This window comes from Homo sapiens, chromosome 17 (assembly GCF_000001405.40).
Source record: "Homo sapiens chromosome 17, GRCh38.p14 Primary Assembly".
Lineage (NCBI taxonomy): Eukaryota > Metazoa > Chordata > Mammalia > Primates > Hominidae > Homo > Homo sapiens.
Window position 1 is genome coordinate 81,415,049 of NC_000017.11, and position 19,749 is coordinate 81,434,797.

At 63.7% G+C, this 19,749-nt stretch overlaps 1 protein-coding gene across 5 annotated transcripts in view, besides 1 other annotated feature; it reads left to right on the forward strand.

Moving 5' to 3' along the window:
- BAHCC1 (BAH domain and coiled-coil containing 1) overlaps positions 1–19,749 on the forward strand; it is a 70,875-nt gene that overhangs the window by 19,592 nt on the left and 31,534 nt on the right. For all 5 annotated transcript variants that reach the window (NM_001291324.3, XM_047436467.1, XM_011525063.3 and 2 more), the window contains exon 3: positions 11,752–11,931. In NM_001291324.3, coding sequence (NP_001278253.1) covers positions 11,752–11,931 — 180 coding nt within the window. The remainder of the gene's footprint in view (positions 1–11,751; positions 11,932–19,749) is intronic.
- Positions 1,808–2,757: an enhancer, noted in NCBI's record as "H3K4me1 hESC enhancer chr17:79390656-79391605 (GRCh37/hg19 assembly coordinates)". NCBI's record gives its function as "activates a minimal SCP1, AML or CMV promoter by ChIP-STARR-seq in naive and primed H9 embryonic stem cells {active_cell/tissue: H9 hESC(naive and primed)}" and the evidence as "EXISTENCE:reporter gene assay evidence [ECO:0000049][PMID:30033119]".

Here is a 19,749-nt window from a genome sequence, read left to right on the forward strand (position 1 = left end):
GGAGCTCTGCCCTTCCCGCCCCGGCCCCTCTTCCAGGGCCACCAGATGCTGCGCGGGGGGCTGGGGACGGGCCCGGGCGAGGGAGCTGGAGGAGGGCACCTGGCCGTGTGACCCCCACCCTCTGAGACCCGTCCGCTGGCAGCTTCCTGGTTCCTTCCTCTCCTCCACCCATCTTCCTGGACCCTGGGTTTGCCCATGCCTGGCTCGGTGCCACACAGCAGGGGACAGGTGTGCTCAGCCTCTTGGGGTCGCAGCAGGGTGCTGCCTGGAGGGGAGTTCCAAGGGGGACCTTCGTTGTGAAGGAGGGCAGGCTGGGCTTTTTGAAGGTGGCTGGGTGTGAACCACGCCTTGAGACACAGAGTTTGGCAGGGGGCATACGTCCCCCTGGAAGGGTAACGCGAGCGCGAGGCCCCATGTGGTTGGAGCCAGCTGTACCAAAAGCAGTTGGCTGGGAAATAACAGAAAATGGCACTTTAGTGGGGGCCGGTCCCTGCCCTTTCAGCCTGCAGTGACCTGTGCTGGCCCCAGCCCCTTCCTGGGATACTACAGCCTGAGCCAACCTCGTTTTGGGAGTCGGGCTCTTGGCACCTGGTCCTTCTTAGCACCAGGGGCAGGAGTGACCTGAGTCCCCTCGGTGGGAGGTGGAGCTCTCCCGGCCAACATAGCCACCTCCATGCTGGATGTGGTGATCACAGCGTGCGAAGCTGTCCCTGCTCCCTGACCTACCCCCCAGCCCTGCTTAAGCTGACTGACACAGACCATAGTTTCTCTCACCTGGGTGCGGGGACCCCAGCTCTGGGGGCTGCAACTACCCACAGAACCATCGAGGACGGCCCAGGATGGCTGTGGGCAGAGCGCCCCACCCTGCCAGGGAGACCATGGGCCTCACACCTCCAGGCAGGCCAGGCTGGGAAACAATGTGTGCGTGTGCGTGTGTCCATGAGGATGGGTGTATGCGCGTGTGTGTGTGTCCATGAGGATGGGTGTATGCGCATGTGTGCGTGTGTGTCCATGAGGATGGGTGTATGTGCGTGTGTGCGTGTGTGTCCATGAGGATGGGTGTGTGTGTGTCCATGAGGGTGGGTCTATGCGTGTGTCCATGAGGATGGGTGTATGTGCGTGTGTGCATGTGTCCATGAGGGTGGGTGTATGCGCGTGTGTACGTGTATGTGTGTCCATGAGGGTGGGTGTATGCGTGTGTGTACGTGTGTGTGTCCATGAGGGTGGGTGTATGTGCATATGTGTGTGTCCATGAGGGTGGGTGTATGCGTGTGTGTCCATGAGGATGGGTGTGTGTGTGTCCATGAGGGTGGGTCTATGCGTGTGTCCATGAGGATGGGTGTATGCGCGTGTGTACGTGTATGTGTGTCCATGAGGGTGGGTGTATGTGCGTGTGTGTGTGTCCATTGAGGGTGTGTGTGTGTGTGTGTGTCCATGAGGATGGGTGTGTGCATGTGTGCGTGTGTGTCCATGAGGATGGGTGTGTGCGTGTTTGTGTGTACATGAGGATGGGTGTATGTGCGTGTGTGTGTGTCCGTGAGGATGGTGTATGCGCGTATGTACGTGTGTGTGTCCATGAGGATGGGTGTATGCACATGTACATGTCCACAAGGATGGGTGAGCACACAGGAGGGTGAGAGCCTGCCCCCCTGGCCATCCCGAGCCTGCACCTGCCTCCGCCCACCTTTCTTCAGCTGCTCTGGCATGGAGCCTGTGTCATTGACGTCGCCTGTTTGGGCCAGGTGGCAGGAGTTAGGAGCACGCTCGCAGCCTGTGGCTGGTCCACTTGGAGGATGGGAGAGGCTGGCCAGCAGGGCCACATGGCTATGTGGACACAGGGCCAAGAGCACTAGAGTCTCCCTACAGCCCGGCTCTGTCGGGGCTCATCCTATGGCTGCTGTGCCCAGGGAGGCCTTGCACCCCCATCCGTTGCCGTGTTGTCCCCTGCATGTCCACAGCTAGACTGGACATGTCCAGGGTCAGGGCAGGGGGTGGGGGCTCCGGTTGAGAGGCCGGAGTGTAGGAGGGCAGGTGGGTGTCCACGTGGCCTCCCTTGCTCTGCAGGGACCCGAGGGCCAGGGTGGATTCCTGGGCTGGGGTGTGCGTGCGTGTGCCCCTGACATCTTCACCGGGGTGTCCGTCTCCCCGCAGCTGGCTGTCTCAAGATGGTGGGATGGGAAGCGTTCAGTTTGGGGCGAGGAGACTCATCCAGCTGCGGGGGGCGGCGCCGAGGGAGTGGCGCTGACCACCCTGGTTGCATTCCCACGCCCCTGGCCGACCGCCCCACAGCCCTCCAGAGTGTCTTAGGGGCAAGGGGAGGTCCTGGCCACCCGCCTGCCCAGGAGAGCGGGTGAGAGACATGGGAGAAGGTGTGAAGAATTGGAGAAGCAGAGAGGGAGCCTGCCTGTGCCCCACCCTCAGTCCCCACCATGGCTGCTCTGAGTCACTTGGCACAGAGCTCTCAGGGGAGGGAGACCGAGGAGGGACGCCATGGGGAGCGTCGGCCACCCCCCCCCCGCCCTAGCCAAAGGGCTAAATTTACCCTTTTAATAAGAACCAGACTTATATCCGATTTTCCTTTTCTTTTATTAGTTCTGGGCTGTCGGTGGCTGAGCCCATCCTGTCATCATCACCTCCGGGCCGTTTCCACGCTGATTGGGTTGGGTACACAGCAACCACAGAGTTTTCCTATTAAGGCCTGAGAGACGCTGCCTCTGGGCCAGCGCAGGCTTCTGGAAGGTTCTCCTGAGCCAGCCAAGGGGCTTCCCGGGTGACGTGCTCCTGTTCCTGGGCGGGCGCCCCTCCCACAGGCTGCTGCAGGTCCCGGGCTGAGCCCATGGCTGCATGCTCTTGGCCTTCCCTGCAGCCCCTCCCTCGCTGCCCCCACACTGCTTCCCATCCTTTCGCACCTCGTTTTTCTCTGTTACTCCTTTCTCCCTGTGCCCGCCTCAGTCTCCACTTGTCCAGCTGCCTTCGTGGAGCCACAGGTGGTGGGGAGGTTTGGTGGCCCCAGGGGGCCAAGGCACCCTCAGACACTTCCAGGCTGTGGGGGCAGAAGAGGCAACAGTAAGCAGGGCGGGCCCCGTGTCCACCAGGTGTGGAGGGAGCAGTGCTGGACAGACGGACATCTGGTGGCAGCAGGTGTGCAGTCGGGACAGAGCGCCGCCCCGAATCTGGACAGTTTGCGGGCCCTGGAGAGGGCTTCAGATTGGAGAGGGTTCCAGGACAGCCCGAGAAACATTGGGTCCTGCTTCTCCACCACAGAGGGGAGCTGGGCCTGGCCACGTGACCTGTTGGCTGCCCGCCAGAATCTACAAGACTCCCAAGGGCCACTTTAGGGTCTGGGGTCTCACTGCCCCAGGAGACGCAGCTCAGAACTGAGCAGCTGTGCCGGGTCAGGGTCTGGTTCCCATGCAGCAGTGGGCTGGGGGGCTGGAGCTGCAACTTGATGGAGATCTGAGGCCCCCCTCTACCACCAGTGGGCCGGGACATGCCCCGACCCAGGGCAGCTGTTCATCCCGGTGCCGCTTCAATGCCACCTTTTGCACAGCGGAGGCCAAGAGCCCTTGCCAAGGTTCAGGTCAGTAAGTGGATAAGTCTGGTGGAGGCCTGAGCCCTGGGAAGCAGCATCTTTGAGGACTTGCCCAGCTGTGTGGCTCCCATGCCCGAGAACAGAGTCTGCCAAGGTGCGCACACCCACAGACGTGTGTGTGTGTACGTGTGTGTACGTGTGTGTGTACGTGTGTGCGTGTGTGTGTGTACGTGTGTGTGTGTGTGTGTGTGTAGCCACTCATCCCAGACATGTAGCACAGTCAGACCTTGTGTGTACACCCATAGTCACGTGCATATGCCCAGAGACAGGTTTGCACAGACACACCCCGTGAGTCACACACAGTCCCTCCCCTGCCTCTGTGCAAGTGTGAGTGTGTGCAAGTGTGAGTGTGTGCAAGTGTGAGGTGCACCCCACATCTCGAGTCTGGACCACTAGTGATTGCAGCCAGGGTGGGGGAAGCATCACTGGGTTGTATCTGGGGGTTGAGCCTGCAAACACCTGCACACCCAGCATGCACCTGCCTGTCTCCCAGCCACATCTGCACACTGGGGTGGCATGTGGCTGGGCCTCTAGCCCCTGCCACAGCAGCTTCTGGTCTCCTGGTGCGGGCGGAGGTCCCAGAGTGGCCTCTCACCCCAGGCAGAGCCTGGTCTCCCCACCCCGTCCCTCATTCCTCTTTCTGGGCAGCCAAATGGTCAGATGCTACACCCCTGCCTCCAAGCAGGCTGCACCTCCCCTCTGCATCCACGCAGGAACCTGTGCAGGGCGGCTTCCTCCCCGCGCTTTCCCGGAATGAGGAATGTGGGGCAGGGCCAGCAGGGGGGCTGCTCCTCCTTCCTGCCTCCCCTCCCGTCCTGCACAGCTCCCTTGGGAGCCTGGCTCGTGGGAAGTGTGCTTGGGACCGCCCATCACTCCGTTCCCAGCCACTCCTGGTGTCCCCCGCCTGGGCGGGCCCTGTGGGGAGCGGGGAAGGTGTGGAGCGGAAGCCAGTGCCGAGGGAAGAGGGGAGCCTGAGTGGGTGTGGGTCGGGGGTGGGAGCTGACGCAGGCGGCGGGTGCAGCCGCCAGACTCGGAGCCGGGGAGGCCCATGCCAGCAGCCCGGCAGCTGGGCTTCCGGAAGCAGCGGGAGCCGGGAGCCTGGGAAGGGCCTCGCTGCTTCTCTGGAGCTGCCGCCATCTCAACGAGGCGTTTTTTTTTTTTTTTTTTTTTACAACCCATTTCACAGTTTCCAGAAAAGGAGGATGCTGTCTCGGCGGCTCACTTAACTCAAAACAAATGCTCGCTCTGCCGGCTCCGCGCCCGCCTCTCCCGGCTCCCGGGCCCTGCCGTCCTCTTGTTCCGTCTGCCTTCAGTCTGGTGCCACAGGGCGGAGCAGGGTCAGCCTGGCAGGAGAGTGGGGTGGGGCACAGTGGGCACCTGGCCATCCGATTGCCCAGGCCCAGCCTCTGCTGTGTGGGTCCTCGGGACCCTGGATGGGGGCTGCTGGCACGGCTGCTGGACCGACCCTTACAGAGGGAGTGGCTCTCCGGGGAGTCCTGGGCTCCAGGGCCCCAGCATGCTCTGTACCCCTCAGGCTGCCCAGCATGTGTTGCCCTTCTTAGCCATCCATGGCAAGGAGCCTGGAAGACAGGTTGGCAGGAGGCAGGCTAGTTCCCATCGGCTGTCCTGGCCACTTAGGGCCACCTCTGCTGTAAGCCCATGTGGCCAGCTCTCACCTACTGTGTGCCGGCCTCCCCACACAGCACCCCTGGGCCGGGGCCAGGCTCACTGGGCACCGAGACTCCAGCCCAGCTGTTGTGCAGCTGTTCCCCAGTCTTCCCGCTGCTGGGCCACCCTGGGACAGCAGGTCCAGGCACAGCCTGCCTCCTGGTCTAGTTGGCTGGACCTTGGGCTCCGGGTCAGACTGGCCTCCCAGGGATGGGGCTGTGCCCGAGGACCTGAGCCACCTGGGGGTGGCCACAGCCCTCCTGGTGTTGCTGTCTCCCGAAACCATTTCCTCAGCTAGCCGGCCGCCCAAGCCAGGCCTCTACAGCATCTTGGGCAGAGCTGAGGTGGCCCTGGAGCTGGGGCCAGAGCCCGGTCTGGATCTAGAGCTGCAAACCCGGCCTGGGCCGGCTGGGCAGTGGGGGCAGCCAACTGGAGGCCAGTGTGCAGTCCTCGGTGGCCCCGCTGACACCGCATCCCGCTTACTGTCCCTTCCCCAGGAACATCCTAAACTCATGCTGCCTCCTGTGATGAGAGCTGATGGGAAGCCTGGCAGAGCGGCCCCAGGCAGGCTCTGTGTGGGGCCAGGGTGCCCTGACCATGCACGCGGGTGGGGACAGGCCGTGTTCAGCCCCCAGCGGAGCACTTGGGGCTATGGGCCTGGACCAGCAACTTAGACTTGGTCATGCTCCATCTCTTACCAGCCCCATGGCGGGCCCACGACCGACCTTGGGAGCATGATGGCACTACGTCACATGAGTCTGAAGCCCCAGGTAGGGGAGGTGCCACTGCAGGCAGTGCCAGGATGGGGCACTTGGTCTGAGGAGGTCTAGGTCAAGACCCCCTCCCTGGCCCCCAGCTGCCTCCGCCTGGGCTGGTAACCACAGCACTTCCTTTGCCAAGAGGAAAGAGCCCTCAGCCCGGTTCCCGGCTGGCCTTGGCCCACACGGTCTGGCCCTGGCTGGAGCCCAGGCTACACTCGGCTCCCAGGCAGCTGAGGCACAGGCTCTGTCTGGGGTTGGCCACTGGTCGGCGGGGGGGCTGGGGAGGTGGCAGCCTGGTCTGCCCACGGCTCTGCTGGCCAGTCACGGTGCCATCCCCAAACACCGGGAGGCGGGGGTGACAGTAGAGGCGTGATGCTCTGTCCTGGGGTTTCCCGGGCTCCTCGGGAGCTGAGTGGGATAGGGAGGGCCTCAGGTGGCCGGCAGTCCCGTCCCCCACACTCGCAGGGGTCACCACAGTAGTGACCACCTGGCAGGGCCTGCAGAATCTGCTTCCAAGTTTCAAGCCAAGGCCAGGACAGTGGGGGAGAAATCCACGCCTTTAGAGTAAGCATCTGAGAGCCCCCAGCCGTGTGCAGGGCCCCTGCTCACGGGGCAAGGGGGATGCCGGGCAGAGGCTCTTCCCCTGCCTGGTCCCGTCTCCGAGGTGCTGGCCTGCTGAGCAGCCAGTGAGACGCCCTGGCAGCAGCTGCCGCCAGAGCCAGGATTTCCAGAAGCAAGAGGCCACCCCAGTCCCTTGGGGGGGATGGTAGGGTCTCTCATGGTAGGCTCAGTACGCAGGATGCCTGGGCACGGAATTGGGGTGCAGCATGCGACCCCATGTGATACTGGAGAAGGGTATTTGCAGCTGTGCCCAGAAGTGGTCCCAGAACGCTCATGCGAGGGCCTCAGGGCCGGGGTCTCGGGTGACTCCGCTTCCTCTCGTGATTTTTTTTTTTCTTGGAGGCGGAGTCGCACTTTGTCATCCAGGCGGGAGGGCAGTGGAACAATCTCTGCTCACTGCAACCCCTGCCTCCCAGATTCAAGCAATTCTCCCGCCTCAGCCTCCCAAATAGCTGGGATTACAGGTGCGCACCACCATGCCCGGATAATTTCTGTATTTTTAGTAGAGACAGGGTTTCACCTTGTTGGCCAGGGTGGTCTTGAACTCCTCACCTCAAGTGATCCACCACCTTGGCCTCCCAAAGTGCTGGGATTACAGGCGTGAGCCACCGTGTCTGGTCTCTCTTGTGCTTTATTACCTGAGCTTATTATGGTGAAAATACAAAGACATAATGTTTGTATGACAAGGAGACAGCAATCCAGGTGGCCCGTTTCCAGAATGAAAGGGAAAAAGAAGTGAAAGAGATCCCCAGATCAGCAGCCCTGCCTGACTCTGGGCACAGACAGCACTTTGGGACCCCCAGCTTGGTGAGGCTGGTCAGGTGCAGGGAGGGGCTAGGCTAGAGCCCCCATCCCCTTCCCTCTCATTCCCCAGACTGTGGGGCCGGGGACCCTTCCTCAGTGGGCTCAGATAAGGCAGCACAGCAGGGTCCCCCAAGTCCGGAGACAGGCTGGTTGCCCACTGAGGGCCCCGTGGGACACCGGGGAGTGTCCTGCCCCCACCTGATGTGGTGTGGGAGAGCTCAAGGTACAGGGTTCTCAGGCCAGGATCCTGGAGAAATCCCTTCTCCAGACCCAACTTTTGGACTTAGTTGCTTCCCACCATCCCGAGGAGGAAAAGGCGGGAGGGACTTCCCCAGGAGGGTGTGGGGGTGGGAAGGCCTGGGGGACTCGAGGCGGGCCTGGGCGAGGCAGCGGCAAGCTTCCAACTCCGAGGGGAGCCCACACTCACCCCACAGGCATGCCCCAGTGTCCCCAAGCAGGGGAAGCCAGCACTTCCCTTCCCAACCCAGAGTCCCCTCCCTGGCTGCCGGGCCTGTGGTCTGGCCCCGGCCCATGGCAGTCCCAGCCTTGTGGTCCGGGAAGCCCCTGGCTCGCGGGCACCTTCACCCCCTGCCCTGGGCCTGGGCCTGGCCCTGCTCCACAGTCCCTTGGGCCGGCTCTTCCTCTCCACCCGCCCACCCGCCGCAGAGGCCAGCTCACAGCCCACGTCCCCCACCAGCACTCACAGACCCCTCCTCTGCTGCCATGACTGGGAGAGGCCCCTTGAGTCCACATGGCTGCGTTCGCACACGAGAGGGGAAGGGGCCTTGGGGGCCCTGGGCTGGGAACTGGCTCAGCACAGCAGGAGCCTGCCAGGGCCGTGCAGGGCAGCCCCCGCCGCCCCCCTTGCCCCACCGCCTCTGCTGAGTCACCTCATGTCTGGGAAGTTCCCAGGGCCAAGCCAGGCTGGATGAGGCATCAGAAATTCACAAATTCCCCCTGCCTCCCGGGCAGGGGAATGGCTGTCCTGACTCACCTCGGGCTGGGCCCCCGCAGACCCCACTATCCCCACGCTCAGCCTCATACCCCTCTTTCCCGAGGGGGCAGGCCCCCCGCCCCAGGTTCCTGGAATGGTCCCAGGCCAGGCTTGCTGCCCGTGGGATGGAGACGACAAGGTGCCAGGGTGCCTGGCTGGAGTGGGGGCCGCTCAGTGACAGCCTCAGACCACCCACGGAGCAGCAGGGCCACCGTGTGCAGAAATCTGTGTGTGCTGTGTCCTCCGTGTGCAGGAGCCGATAGTCATGGCAACTCTGGGAGGCTCCCTCGGGCTGGCCTTGGCCACTGGACTTGGGCAGAGGTGGGCACAGCTGAGGGGCCACAGGCAAGCATGCAGGCGGGCCGATGGTCCGGGAGAGCTGGGCTGGGCGGGGCCTGGGGCGCTGGGGGCTCACCATTTCCCACACTCAGGCTGCCAGGAGAAGTGCGGGGTATCCTGGCGGTGCCCAGGAAGGAGCCTCTCGCGGCCTCCACCTGACCCAGAGGTGAGCGCCATCCGCAGCTCTGTGCCAGCCCAGTCGGGGCCCAGCCCCAGGAATCCTGAAGGGATTTTAGAAGCAGATCCGTCCTCAGCGCCACCCTTCCTTCCTCTGTCCCCCGCCCTCAGTCTTCCCCCTGGCTCAGTTTCTCCCTCTGCTCGCCTGAGACTGGGGCACTCCTGTCTGACAAGTCAGTTTATTGGGCCTGGGTAGAGGGATGAAGACCCCACTCAGGAGAGAGAACAGCTCCTCCCAGTGCTGCCTGGAGGGGCCGAGACTGTGGGGCCCGTGGAGCTGACACAGGGCCTATGGCTGGGGCCCCGCTGACCCTGGTGCCTCATGTATCACCTTGACCTTTTTGGCAAGTTCGCCAGTGTGTGAGAGGCCTTGGAGCTGCCCACAGCTGTGGGCTGGGAGAGTCAGGGTGCTCTCCCTGTGAAGAGGAGGCCCATCCACAGACCCTGAAAGTTGATTGGGCACAGTACCCAGCACCCACCTGGGTGGTAGTGGTGGTGACAGTGATGGTGGTGGTGGCGAGTGATGTGGTTATTGATGATGATTGGTGATTGATGATGATATGGTTGTTGTGGTTGGTGATGGTGGTGGTGGTGTGGTTGTTGTTGAATGTGGTTGGTAATGGTGGTGGATGATGTGGTTGGTGGTAATGGTAGTGGTGATGTGGTTGGGGGCATGGTGGTGGAGGTGATGTGGTTGGTGATGATAATGTGGTTGGTGTTGTGTGGTGGTGGTGATGGTGATGTAGTTGGGGTGGTGTTGATGTGGTTGGTGGTGGTGGGTGATGTGGTTTGTGGTGATAGTGCTGGGTGATATGGTTGGTGATGATGATGTGGTTGGTGACAGGTGATGTGGTTGGTGGTGATGATGATGGTAGGTGATGTGGTAGTAATGTGGTTGGTGGTGATGTGGTTGGTGTGATGTGGTTGGTGCTGATAGTGGTGGGTGATGTGGTTGGCATGATGTGGTTGGTGTGATGTGGTTGGTGGTGATAGTGATGGGTGATGTGGTTGGTGATGATGTGGTTGGGGGTGATAGTGGTGGGTGATGTGGTTGGTGGTGATGTGGTTGGTGGGTGATGTGGTTGGTGGTGATAGTGGTGGGTGATGTGGTTGGGGGTGATAGTGGTGGGTGATGTGGTTGGGGGTGATGGTGGGTGTTGTGGTTGGTGGTGATAGTGGTGGGTGATGTGGTTGGTGATGATGGTGGGTGATGTGGTTGGTGGTGATGTGGTTGGGGGTGATAGTGGTGATGATGTGGTTGGGGGTGATAGTGGTGGGTGTGTAGTTGGGGGTGATAGTGGTGGGTGATGTGGTTGGGGGTGATAGTGGTGGGTGATGTGGTTGGTGGTGATAGTGGTGGGTGATGTGGTTGGTGGTGTGGTTGGTGGTGATAGTGGTGGGTGATGTGGTTGGTGGGTGATGTGGTTGGTGGTGATGTGGTTGGGGGTGATAGTGGTGGGTGATGTGGTTGGTGTGATGTGGTTGGTGGGTGATGTGGTTGGGGGTGATAGTGGTGGGTGATGTGGTTGGTGTGATGTGGTTGGTGGGTGATGTGGTTGGTGGTGATGTGGTTGGGGGTGATAGTGGTGGGTGATGTGGTTGGGGGTGATAGTGGTGGGTGATGTGGTTGGTGGTTATGTGGTTGGTGGTGATGTGGTTGGTGGTGATGGTGGGTGATGTGGTTGGTGGCGATGTGGTTGGTGGTGATAGTGGTGGGTGATGTGGTTGGTGGTGATGTGGTTGGTGTGATGTGGTTGGTGGTGATGTGGTTGGTGATGATGTGGTTGAGGGTGATGGTGGGTCGTGGTGGTGGTGGGTAATGTGGTTGGTGATTTGGTGATGATGTGGTTGGTGGTGGTGGTGGGTGATGTGGTTGGTGGTGATGTGGTTGGTGGGTGATGTCATTGGTGATGTGGTTGGTGCATGATGTGATTGGTGATGTGGTTGGTGGTGATGTGGTTGGTGGTGATAGTGGTGGGTGTGGTTGGTGATGATGTGGTTGGGGGTGATGGTGGGTGATGTGGTTGGTGGTGATGTGGCTCGTGGTGGTGGTGGTGGGTGATGTGGTTGGTGGTGATGTGGTTGGTGGTGATAGTGGTGGGTGATGTGGTTGGTGGTGATAGTGGTTGGTGGTGATAGTGGTGGGTGATGTGGTTGGGGGTGATAGTGGTGGGTAATGTGGTTGGTGGTGATGTGGTTGGTGATGATGTGGTTGGTGGTGATAGTGGTGGGTGATGTGGTTGGTGGTAATAGTCGTGGGTGATGTGGTTGGGGGTGATTGTGGTGGGTGATGTGGTTGGGGGTGATAGTGGTGGGTGATGTGGTTGGTGGTGATAGTCGTGGGTGATGTGGTTGGGGGTGATAGTGGTGGGTGATGTGGTTGGTGGTGATAGTCGTGGGTGATGTGGTTGGGGGTGATAGTGGTGGGTGATGTGGTTGGGGGTGATGTGGGTGATGTGGTTGGGGGTGATAGTGGTGGGTGATATGGCTCGTGGTGGTGGTGGTGGTGATGTGCTTGTGACAAAGATGTCGTTCTTGGGTTTGCAACAGCAGGAGAGTGTCAGTACCAGGACACCTGGGGCACCAAAAGACTCAGGACTCTGAGTGTGGCAGTCAAAGGCATATGGGGGTAACCTTTCCCATCATCGGTTTCTTGGATATTGAAAGTCAAAGGCTCTGGGGGAGATTGGGGCCTGAGAGTCCCCTGTGGAGAAGGGCTGTGGTGTTGCCCCTGCCCTGCCTCAGGCCACACCCTGGGAGCTGCCCCCAGAGTCACTCTTGCCCTGTGTCCACAGCCAGCAGCCGCCTGATGGGAAGTTCTCCGGCCTCCTCGTTCATGGGCAGTTTCCTCACCAGCAGCCTGGGCTCGGCAGCCTCCACGCACCCCAGCGGCCCCAGCTCCTCCCCCCCTGAGCAGGCCTACCGTGGCTCCCACCCCACCACCTCCCAGATCTGGTTCTCCCACTCCCACGAAGGTAAGTTGGCGGACTGGGCTCCCAGCGACACCCTGGTGGCCAAGAGACTGACCCTGGTGCCCGGGCCAGGGGCAGGTGAGGGGCTCCCATCGTGGCCGTGGGAACCTGGCCGGTGGACGGTGACAAGCAGGCTCGGGTGAGGCTGCCTCCCTGCCGAGGAAGCCCCGGGGGAAGTGGTGATTGGTTGGAAACAAGGGCAGCCTGTTCGGCAGTGGTCCTGGCCAGATGTGTGCTCCAGATGGGCAGCAAGGGGAAACAGGGGGGCCAGGAGGGGCTCTGGGGAGCTGAGAAAATGTGGAGCACAGCTGGGCCGGCCGGGCTGGGCTCACCCTCACAGTGGCCGTGCCCCACCTCCCCAGACGCTAGGAGGCGGGCTCCAAATGTGCCAGCTGGAGGAGGGGGCCGGGGCGGGGAGAGCTGTCAGCGCACACAGGCTGCCACCCAGGGGCCTGTCCCAGGACAAAGAGTTCCTCCCAGGCCACCTGCCTCCCCGTGGGACACAGCCCTGGACACACAGTAGGTGCCTCGCGAATACTGGCTACTCTCAGGCTGCCTGGCCAGCAGGAGACTCCTGGAGGCCCCCCTGGCCTTTCCGTGGCAGGGCACCCCTGCCTGGATCCCCGTGCTTGCTCAGACCCCTTGCCCTGCAGCCTAGGAGGCGGCCCTGGGCCCCCATGTCCTTGGGCCCACAGTTGCTGGTATTCCCTCGGCCACCCCAACCCTACAGCGTGGGAAGGGTTAAGCTCCCCCCGCCCCCCGCGGCTGGCACGCAGAGAGGTAATTGCAGTTGGCAGCGGGCACACAGGGCTCTCCGCTCCTGGCACCCAGCACTGCCGTAACTCAATGACTGCTGAGCGGCGGGCGTCGTGTTTACAGAGCGCCGCGGACCCACACACCACGCCACCGCCCCGTTCCAGGCAGGGAGATTAGCACCCGGCACTGCTGGAAGCAGAGAAACCTCTCTTTGTGCAACAAGAAAGGGGCTGTTTTCCAAACAGAACAGGTGACGAGTGAGGGACAGTTGCTGAAATAATCTGGGCTTTCGGCTCAGGGCGCACATGTTGGGCAGGCGATAAGGAGTGGCCTCTTCCTGGGTGCAGGGGAGGCCGCTACCTTGGGATGCGGTGGGCAGCATGGGGTCCTCGGTCCAGACTCCCCTGCCCAGACTCCCCTGCCCCTTCCTCCCACCCCTGCACTACTAGCGGCCTCCTGGAGGGGAGACCAGGCTGGCCATGGCTCCTGGGCTGGCTGTGGGGGCCCCGCCTTCCTGGCTCATATGCCCCACCCCGCCTCAGCCTTTTGTGTCTGTGGGCAAACGCCCCGGCCAGCCACAGCATCTGGCTCCCAGGATGTCTGTGGGAGGGAGGAGGGTGGCCTGGCACCGGGGGAGCAGGAAGGGGAGGCCTGCGGCAGCCGTGGTGAACCCCCCACAACAGACGCAACGGCCGCTGCCTGGTCCTGGCCCAGCCACAGGTGCACAGATCCACCTAGGACCACTGACTTGGTTTCCCCTCCTGGCAGTGGTGGCCCCTAGTCAGGGCCCAGAAGTGGCACCAGCCCATCCCCAATGCTCTCTGCACCAGGAGAGAGCTCCTACCCCACTCCCTCCACCCACCCTGGGGGACCCCAGCAGCAAGGAGGGCCGTTTGTGGGTAGCACCACCTGCCTTGGAGCCCCCGTCCCGCCCCTCTGGGGGCTGCTCAGAGGGTGGGTGTGTGGTGGCCCACAGGCAGACAGCACCCACAACGGCCTCTAGACACTCACTTCCCCTTGTGCCAACGGCTGCCTGGGCGGAGCTGCCCACATCCCACCCCGGGGACCCCCACCACTTCTCAGCCCCTCACATGGGGCCCGGCATCGGTGGGTTCCATCTGCTCCCGAGCCCTTGGGAGTCCCCCTGGCTGGGTGGGAAGCCAATGTCCTGCCACAAGTGTCGACGTGAGCCCCTGGCGTCTGGGCCTCTGAGCCCCTTCTATCTGCGTCCCAGGGAAGTAGCTCCTCCAGGCGGGGGTGGCCTGAGCCGGAGGAGAGGACAGTGCCCACAGTGGCCCTGGCTGTGTCACACCGAGGAGGTTCACCTGTCCACCCTGCTGGGCACCTGGCACCCTGGCTGGGCGAGACGCATCTCCCGCTGTCCGTGTCAGGTGGGGGTGGGCACGTGTGCGGGACAGTGGGCTGGGTGGACCAGCACGGGTGGAGGCGGGACAAGGGGGTGCAGGGCGTGGCCTCTGAGCCGCCCGCCTGGGCCCCAGAATGCAAGGCCCACCCGGGGCTGAGGATGGGTGTGGGTGCCCCCCGAGGGTGGCAGAGCCTCCAAGGCCACACACCTGCGAGGCCCGTGCTCCAGCTTGCTGTCCCCTGCTCTGCCTTCAGTTCAGTTGTCCCACCCCCCGGGATCCCCTCCCCTCCCTGCGGGGGTTCCCTGCCACGCAGCCGTGCTCCCCGACAGACCACATGGAGCTGCCGCGCTGTGAGCTGAGCGGCAGAGGCCAGGGCCGGCGGGCCAGGGTGAGAGGCTGGCTGGCTGCCCGGGCAGCATGCCTGGCTGCTAGTTTGACAGGGTGCCAGCTGGCTCCCCGTGCGCCGGGCCTGTTTCTCTGCCGTGTGTGTTCATGGGGGAAGGGGAGTGAGGTGGGTGGGGGGCACGCGACTCGGCCGGAGAGTGGGGGCCAGCAGGCACAGCGGGCTGCCTGGGCGGTTGGCCTTGCCCACGTTTCCTCCTAGTGGCCCAGGATGGGCAGGAGGCAGGTGCCTGGCCAAGCCAGCTTGCCACCCCCTCCCCAGCCCAGGGCTTTCGTTGAGGGTAGGTAGGCCAGGGTGGGGCAGGCCACCAGGAACCCAGGTTGGGGTAGCCCCAGGAACCCCCCATGCCAAGCGGGGCCTCCTCTCTCCCCATCTGCAGGGCAGCCCCTCGAGCGGGCCAGGGCTTCCTGCTTCCCCGGGGGAGCAGCTGGGGGTGCAGCAGAGGCAGCCCGGAGCTGGAGGAGCCGCCCGGAACATCTGGCCTGGGCAGAGCCTGTCTGTTCAGCTCCTCCCGGCCCGCAGCTTACCCGAGGCTCGCGCTCCCACCAGCGGTGGGCCTCTCTGGGGCTTGGGGTGGGGGCGGGAGGCGGAACTGGCCAGGGGCAGAGGTGAGCTCCTGCTGGGCAGCCTGTCCTGGGTGGATGAGGATGAGAGCAGGGGTGGGGGCACACACAGCTGGCCCTATTGTCAGCAGGCCTGGTCCCCTCCCTCCCCACCGCGCCCCCCAGCTGCCTGGCCAGGACCACCCACAGGGCCAATGAAAGAGGATTCTGTTCCTGGGGGGCTCAGCTGGGAAGGGGTGGGGGCAGGGGCTGCTGAGATCCCCACTGAGGCCACTCGTGGTCTCTTGTGCCACCTGGGGGGAGCCATGGGGGCGGCAGGCACACACACGCGCTGGCTCTCCGCCTGGCCGGCCTCTTGGTCAGAACCACGCCCCACCAGCGGCCACTTCTCACTGGGCCTGGCCAGCTCCTGGGGGTCCGGGGCTACGCATGCCGAGCACTCCCTGCCAACGGAGCCCCGCAGCTTCCTGCATCCTGCCAGCTGCTCCTCTGTCCCCTTCGTCCCCTCTGAGGTCTCAGGACTCGCTGGTGCTGCTGGGAGTGAGCAGGAGCTGGGACCACATCTGTTTAAGGGACAGAGGTCCCACCAGCGCCCACCCACCCCGAGTGTCCTCAGAGGTACTGGGGCCCCAGCTCCATCCTTCCTGTGATGCCTGCCAGGGACCTGCTGCTTCCTCCCAGACCCCTTCAGCTCCTCCTTCCTCTCCCGGCCTCGGTTTCCTCGGTGGCTAAAACAGCTTCTTGGTCTGTCTCCCACAGGCCCGCTGACCACCCCAGCACTGACGTTTCTACCACATCTATGTGGGGGGTGTGGCCCTTGCCCTGCCTAGACCTGCTGTCCCTGCCCATGTGCGAGGGAGAGTTGGGCCAGTGGGGACAAGCTGGCTCCGCTGGGATGCGAGGGACAGCGTGGGGGTCCCGGCGTGGGGGTGGAGGGGACAGCGTGGGGGTCTCGGCGTGGGGGTGGAGGGGACAGCGTGGGGGTCCCGGCGTGGGGGTGGAGGGGACAGCGTGGGGATCCCAGCGTGGGGGTGGAGGGGCTCTGCTGGGCCGGCTACCTCCCGCCAGCTTCTCTCAGCCAGAGGGCGGCTGCCCCATCCAGGCCTATGATCCCCCCTCCGGAGGTGTCCTATGGCTTTCGGGAGCCAGCCCTCCCATACCCTCGGCCCCTCACCGTGGCCTGCCCTGGCCGGCCACCCTGCCAGGGTCCCAGCCTCCTGTCCCCACTGGAGTCTGCCCTCAGGCCCTGGCAGTTCCCAACCCCCAGCCCGCTGAGACTTTATGCATAGCCTCATGTTCACGGCCTGGCTGAGTGCTGCCAGTCACTGTTGAGTGCAGGGGTTTCATCCCGTGGCCATGGTGACCAGCACCCAGGTCCACACCTGGCAGAGGGCTGTATGGAGGTGGCTAGGGGAGACACAGACTTGGGGAAGCCAGGATAGGGACATCCCAGGTGGCAGAACCTGAGCCCCAGGGAGGTTGGGGAGAGGGCCACCCCTGGTTTGGATAAAGGGCCTGGTCCCTGCAGCTTCAGGGTTCCCAGGACCAGCCCTGGCTTGAGGTTGGGCAGGATGACTGCACTTCTGTTATGAGCCTGGCCCTGGGATGGCACCTGCCTCCCCCTGGCAATGCTGCACAGCACAGTGGTGCTTGCGCCCATTTTACAGCTGAGGAAACTGAGGCTGAGGATTGTGTGTGACTGAGAGCCTGTCCCCTCATCCCCTCCCTGCCCTCTGACCTGCCGTGCTTTGGAGTAGGTGTACCCTCTGCCCCGCAAGCTCCTGCTCTCCAGGAGCCAGGGACTTAGCCAGGGACTTGGGCTAGAGGCTGCTCTGGGACCCAGGAGGCTGCACCCGAGCCCCTGCGCACACCCAGGCACCGCAGGACAGGGCAGGACTGTGGCAGATGCGGCATGGGCCCCTGCTATGTGCAGGGCAGGTGGGCAGGGCAGGGGTCGTCACAGACCCAGAGCTGTCTTAGCTTCGAGTTCATATGCCCAGCCTCAGTTTCTCTATCTGCCACACCCATGAGAACAGCTGTCCAGACCCCATGTGATACAGACACAAAGAGCAACTTCCCTCCCGTGTCCTGCAGCGGCTGTCCACTGCTGGGGCCAGTGGCCTTGGTCACTGGGGATGGGGTGCGGCCTTCCTAGGCTGACATCCCTGGATCTGACCGATGGTGCAGCCGCCCCGGCAGGTGCACCGTCTCCTGTGTGCCTGTGTGTGGGGCTGGCTGGTGTCATGCCTGTGGCCCCGGTACAATGACCTATGTGTCAAGGACGCTGCCTGGGGAACGTGAGGAAGGTCCTGGTGGACAGGCGGAAGGGAGTTCCCTGGTAGCCAGAGCTGATGTCCAGGGTGCCGGCGAAGGTTTTGGGGGTCGTGTGGTTGCTTCTAGCTCCACGCTCCGAGAACTGTCCATTGCCCCCTGTGGCTTGAGGGCGGCCCCAGCCTCGGACCCACCCTCCCACCCATCACCAGGCCCACCCTCCCTCCCATCGCCGGGCCCACCCTCCCCTCCAGCCCTGGACCCAACCTCCGTCCCCAGCCCTGGACCCACCCTCCCGGGCCCACCTGTTCCCCTGAGCCCCAGACCCCATCCCTCCCATCCCCGGGCCCACCCTCCCCCGCATCCCCAGGCCCACCCTCCCCGCCATCCCCAGACCCACCCTCCCCCCGAGCCCCAGACCCACCCTCCCTCCCATCCCCAGGCCCACCCTCCCCCCACATCCCCAGGCCCACCCTCCGCCCCATCCCCAGGCCCACCCTCCCCCCCCATCCCCAGGCCCACCCTTCCCCCCATCCCCAGGCCCAACCTCCCCCCCCATCCCCAGGCCCACCCTTCCCCCCATCCCCAGGAAGGCTGCGCTCCTCCCTGTGGGGTTGGTGCCTGGATCCTGGGCAGGCTGCCCACTGCGTTCATTCTGGAGGCTCCCATGGGAACCTGGCACCTGCTCCCGCTCTTAGCTACCTTGCTCAGCCTGGGAACAGATGGAGCTGGCCCGGCCCGCCCCTGAGGCAGCTGTGGGTCACCACTTGGGCCAGTTCCCTGCAGGCCTGTGGATGGGGAAGAGGCTGAGCTTCTGAAGCCTCAGGGGGCCCCAAGGATTGGGCACTCCAGCTCCAAGAACGAATCTCTTGCTGTGCCGCCCCGCAACCACTCATGTCCCGGGAGCTGCACTTTGAAACACAGCCTGGACACCCGGGGGCCTGCCCACCTGGGGTGAGGGGCCGTGTGTGGGAGCAGGGGTGTATGGCAGAGAGCAGACAGGACTAGGGAAGGGGCCGCTGCAAGGCTGTAGGCCCTTCCGGCCCTAGAGTGGGAGTGGGAACTGCCCATAGCTGCAGTCACTGCTGAGGCCCCTCCTGTGCCCAGGGCTGGAGTCATCAGTCCACCGAGGCCCCTCCTGTGCCCAGGGCAGGAGTCATCAGTCCACCGAGGTCCCTGTGTGCCCAGGGCAGGTGTCATCAGTCCACCGAGGCCCCTCCTGTGCTTAGGGCAGGTGTCATCAGTCCACCGAGGTCCCCGTGTGCTCAGGGCAGGTGTCATCAGTCCACCAAGGCCCCTCCTGTGCCCAGGGCAGGAGTCATCAGTCCACCGAGGCCCCTGTGTGCCCCGGGCAGGTGTCATCAGTCCACCGAGGCCCCTCCTGTGCCCCGGGCAGGTGTCGTCAGTCCACCGAGGTCCCCGTGTGCTCAGGGCAGCCATCATCCGTCAACTACAGCACTTTGTGTGCCGCATGCGGACAGGGTTTCAGAATCTGTGTCAGCCCAGCACTCGGGGCCTGGCGGTCATCGGGTAGACCCGTGCACTGCACCTGAAACCCACTGACACCCTGAGTGACGGGGGTGTCCCGTGAAGAGCCAGTGCTGAGTTGCGGGCGGGTGGAGGCCAGGCTGAGCCTCGTGCGTGTGGCTGCACGGCAGGGACGTCCTGCGTGACAGGGACGATGTGCAGAACCTCAAGAGGAGCAGGGACCACTTGCCAGGCCAGGGGTCTCCCGGGACTCCCCTGGGGTCACTGTGGGGGGAGTAACAGGGGATCTGGCAGAGTTGGCAGGAGGTGGGGGAGGGGTGTCTGCTTCTGAGCCAGGAGGATGGGCCCTCGCTGGACAGTGGGTATTTGAGACAGTGCCCACAGCCTCCCACGTTCCCCAGGGCCTCCCAGGCTGGCTGCCCACGTGCACATTCCAGGCTCGGGGCCACGCCCAGCTGACTGCATGACCCACTGCCCGCCCAGCCAGGCGCATGTGGGAGCCGAGGTGGTACTGCAGTGGGAGACAGGTCGAGGCTCAGCCGTGGGAGGCCAGCGTGGCAGACCTTCCCCCAGGGAGGAGGCACTGCCGTTTGTCAGGATGGTGGGGTGTCCGCTGTAGAAGGTTTTGTCCTCAAAGGCGTGCGGGCTGGGGCAGGGCGCTCGAGGTGTGCTTCAGCACCCCCAGAAGTTTGCTGAGCCTGCAGCATCCTGGCCCTGAGCTCTGTGGCCCCAAGTGGGGCTTCCTGGGTGACCCTGCAGTGGGAAGTCCCCTGACCCCCCAGGTGATCTTGGTCCTTCTGCTGGCTGGCGTCCCTCCCTCCTAGACCTGGCCGTGAAGATACCCCAAGTTCAGCATCCTGAGAGACCCAGGAGCAGCCCCTGGTTTTCCACGGCAGGGATGCTCCCTGGAAGGGCAGCCTGGGGGGTGGGTTGTGGCCACCTCCCCAGATCTGGCAAGAGGAGGAAGGCGCAG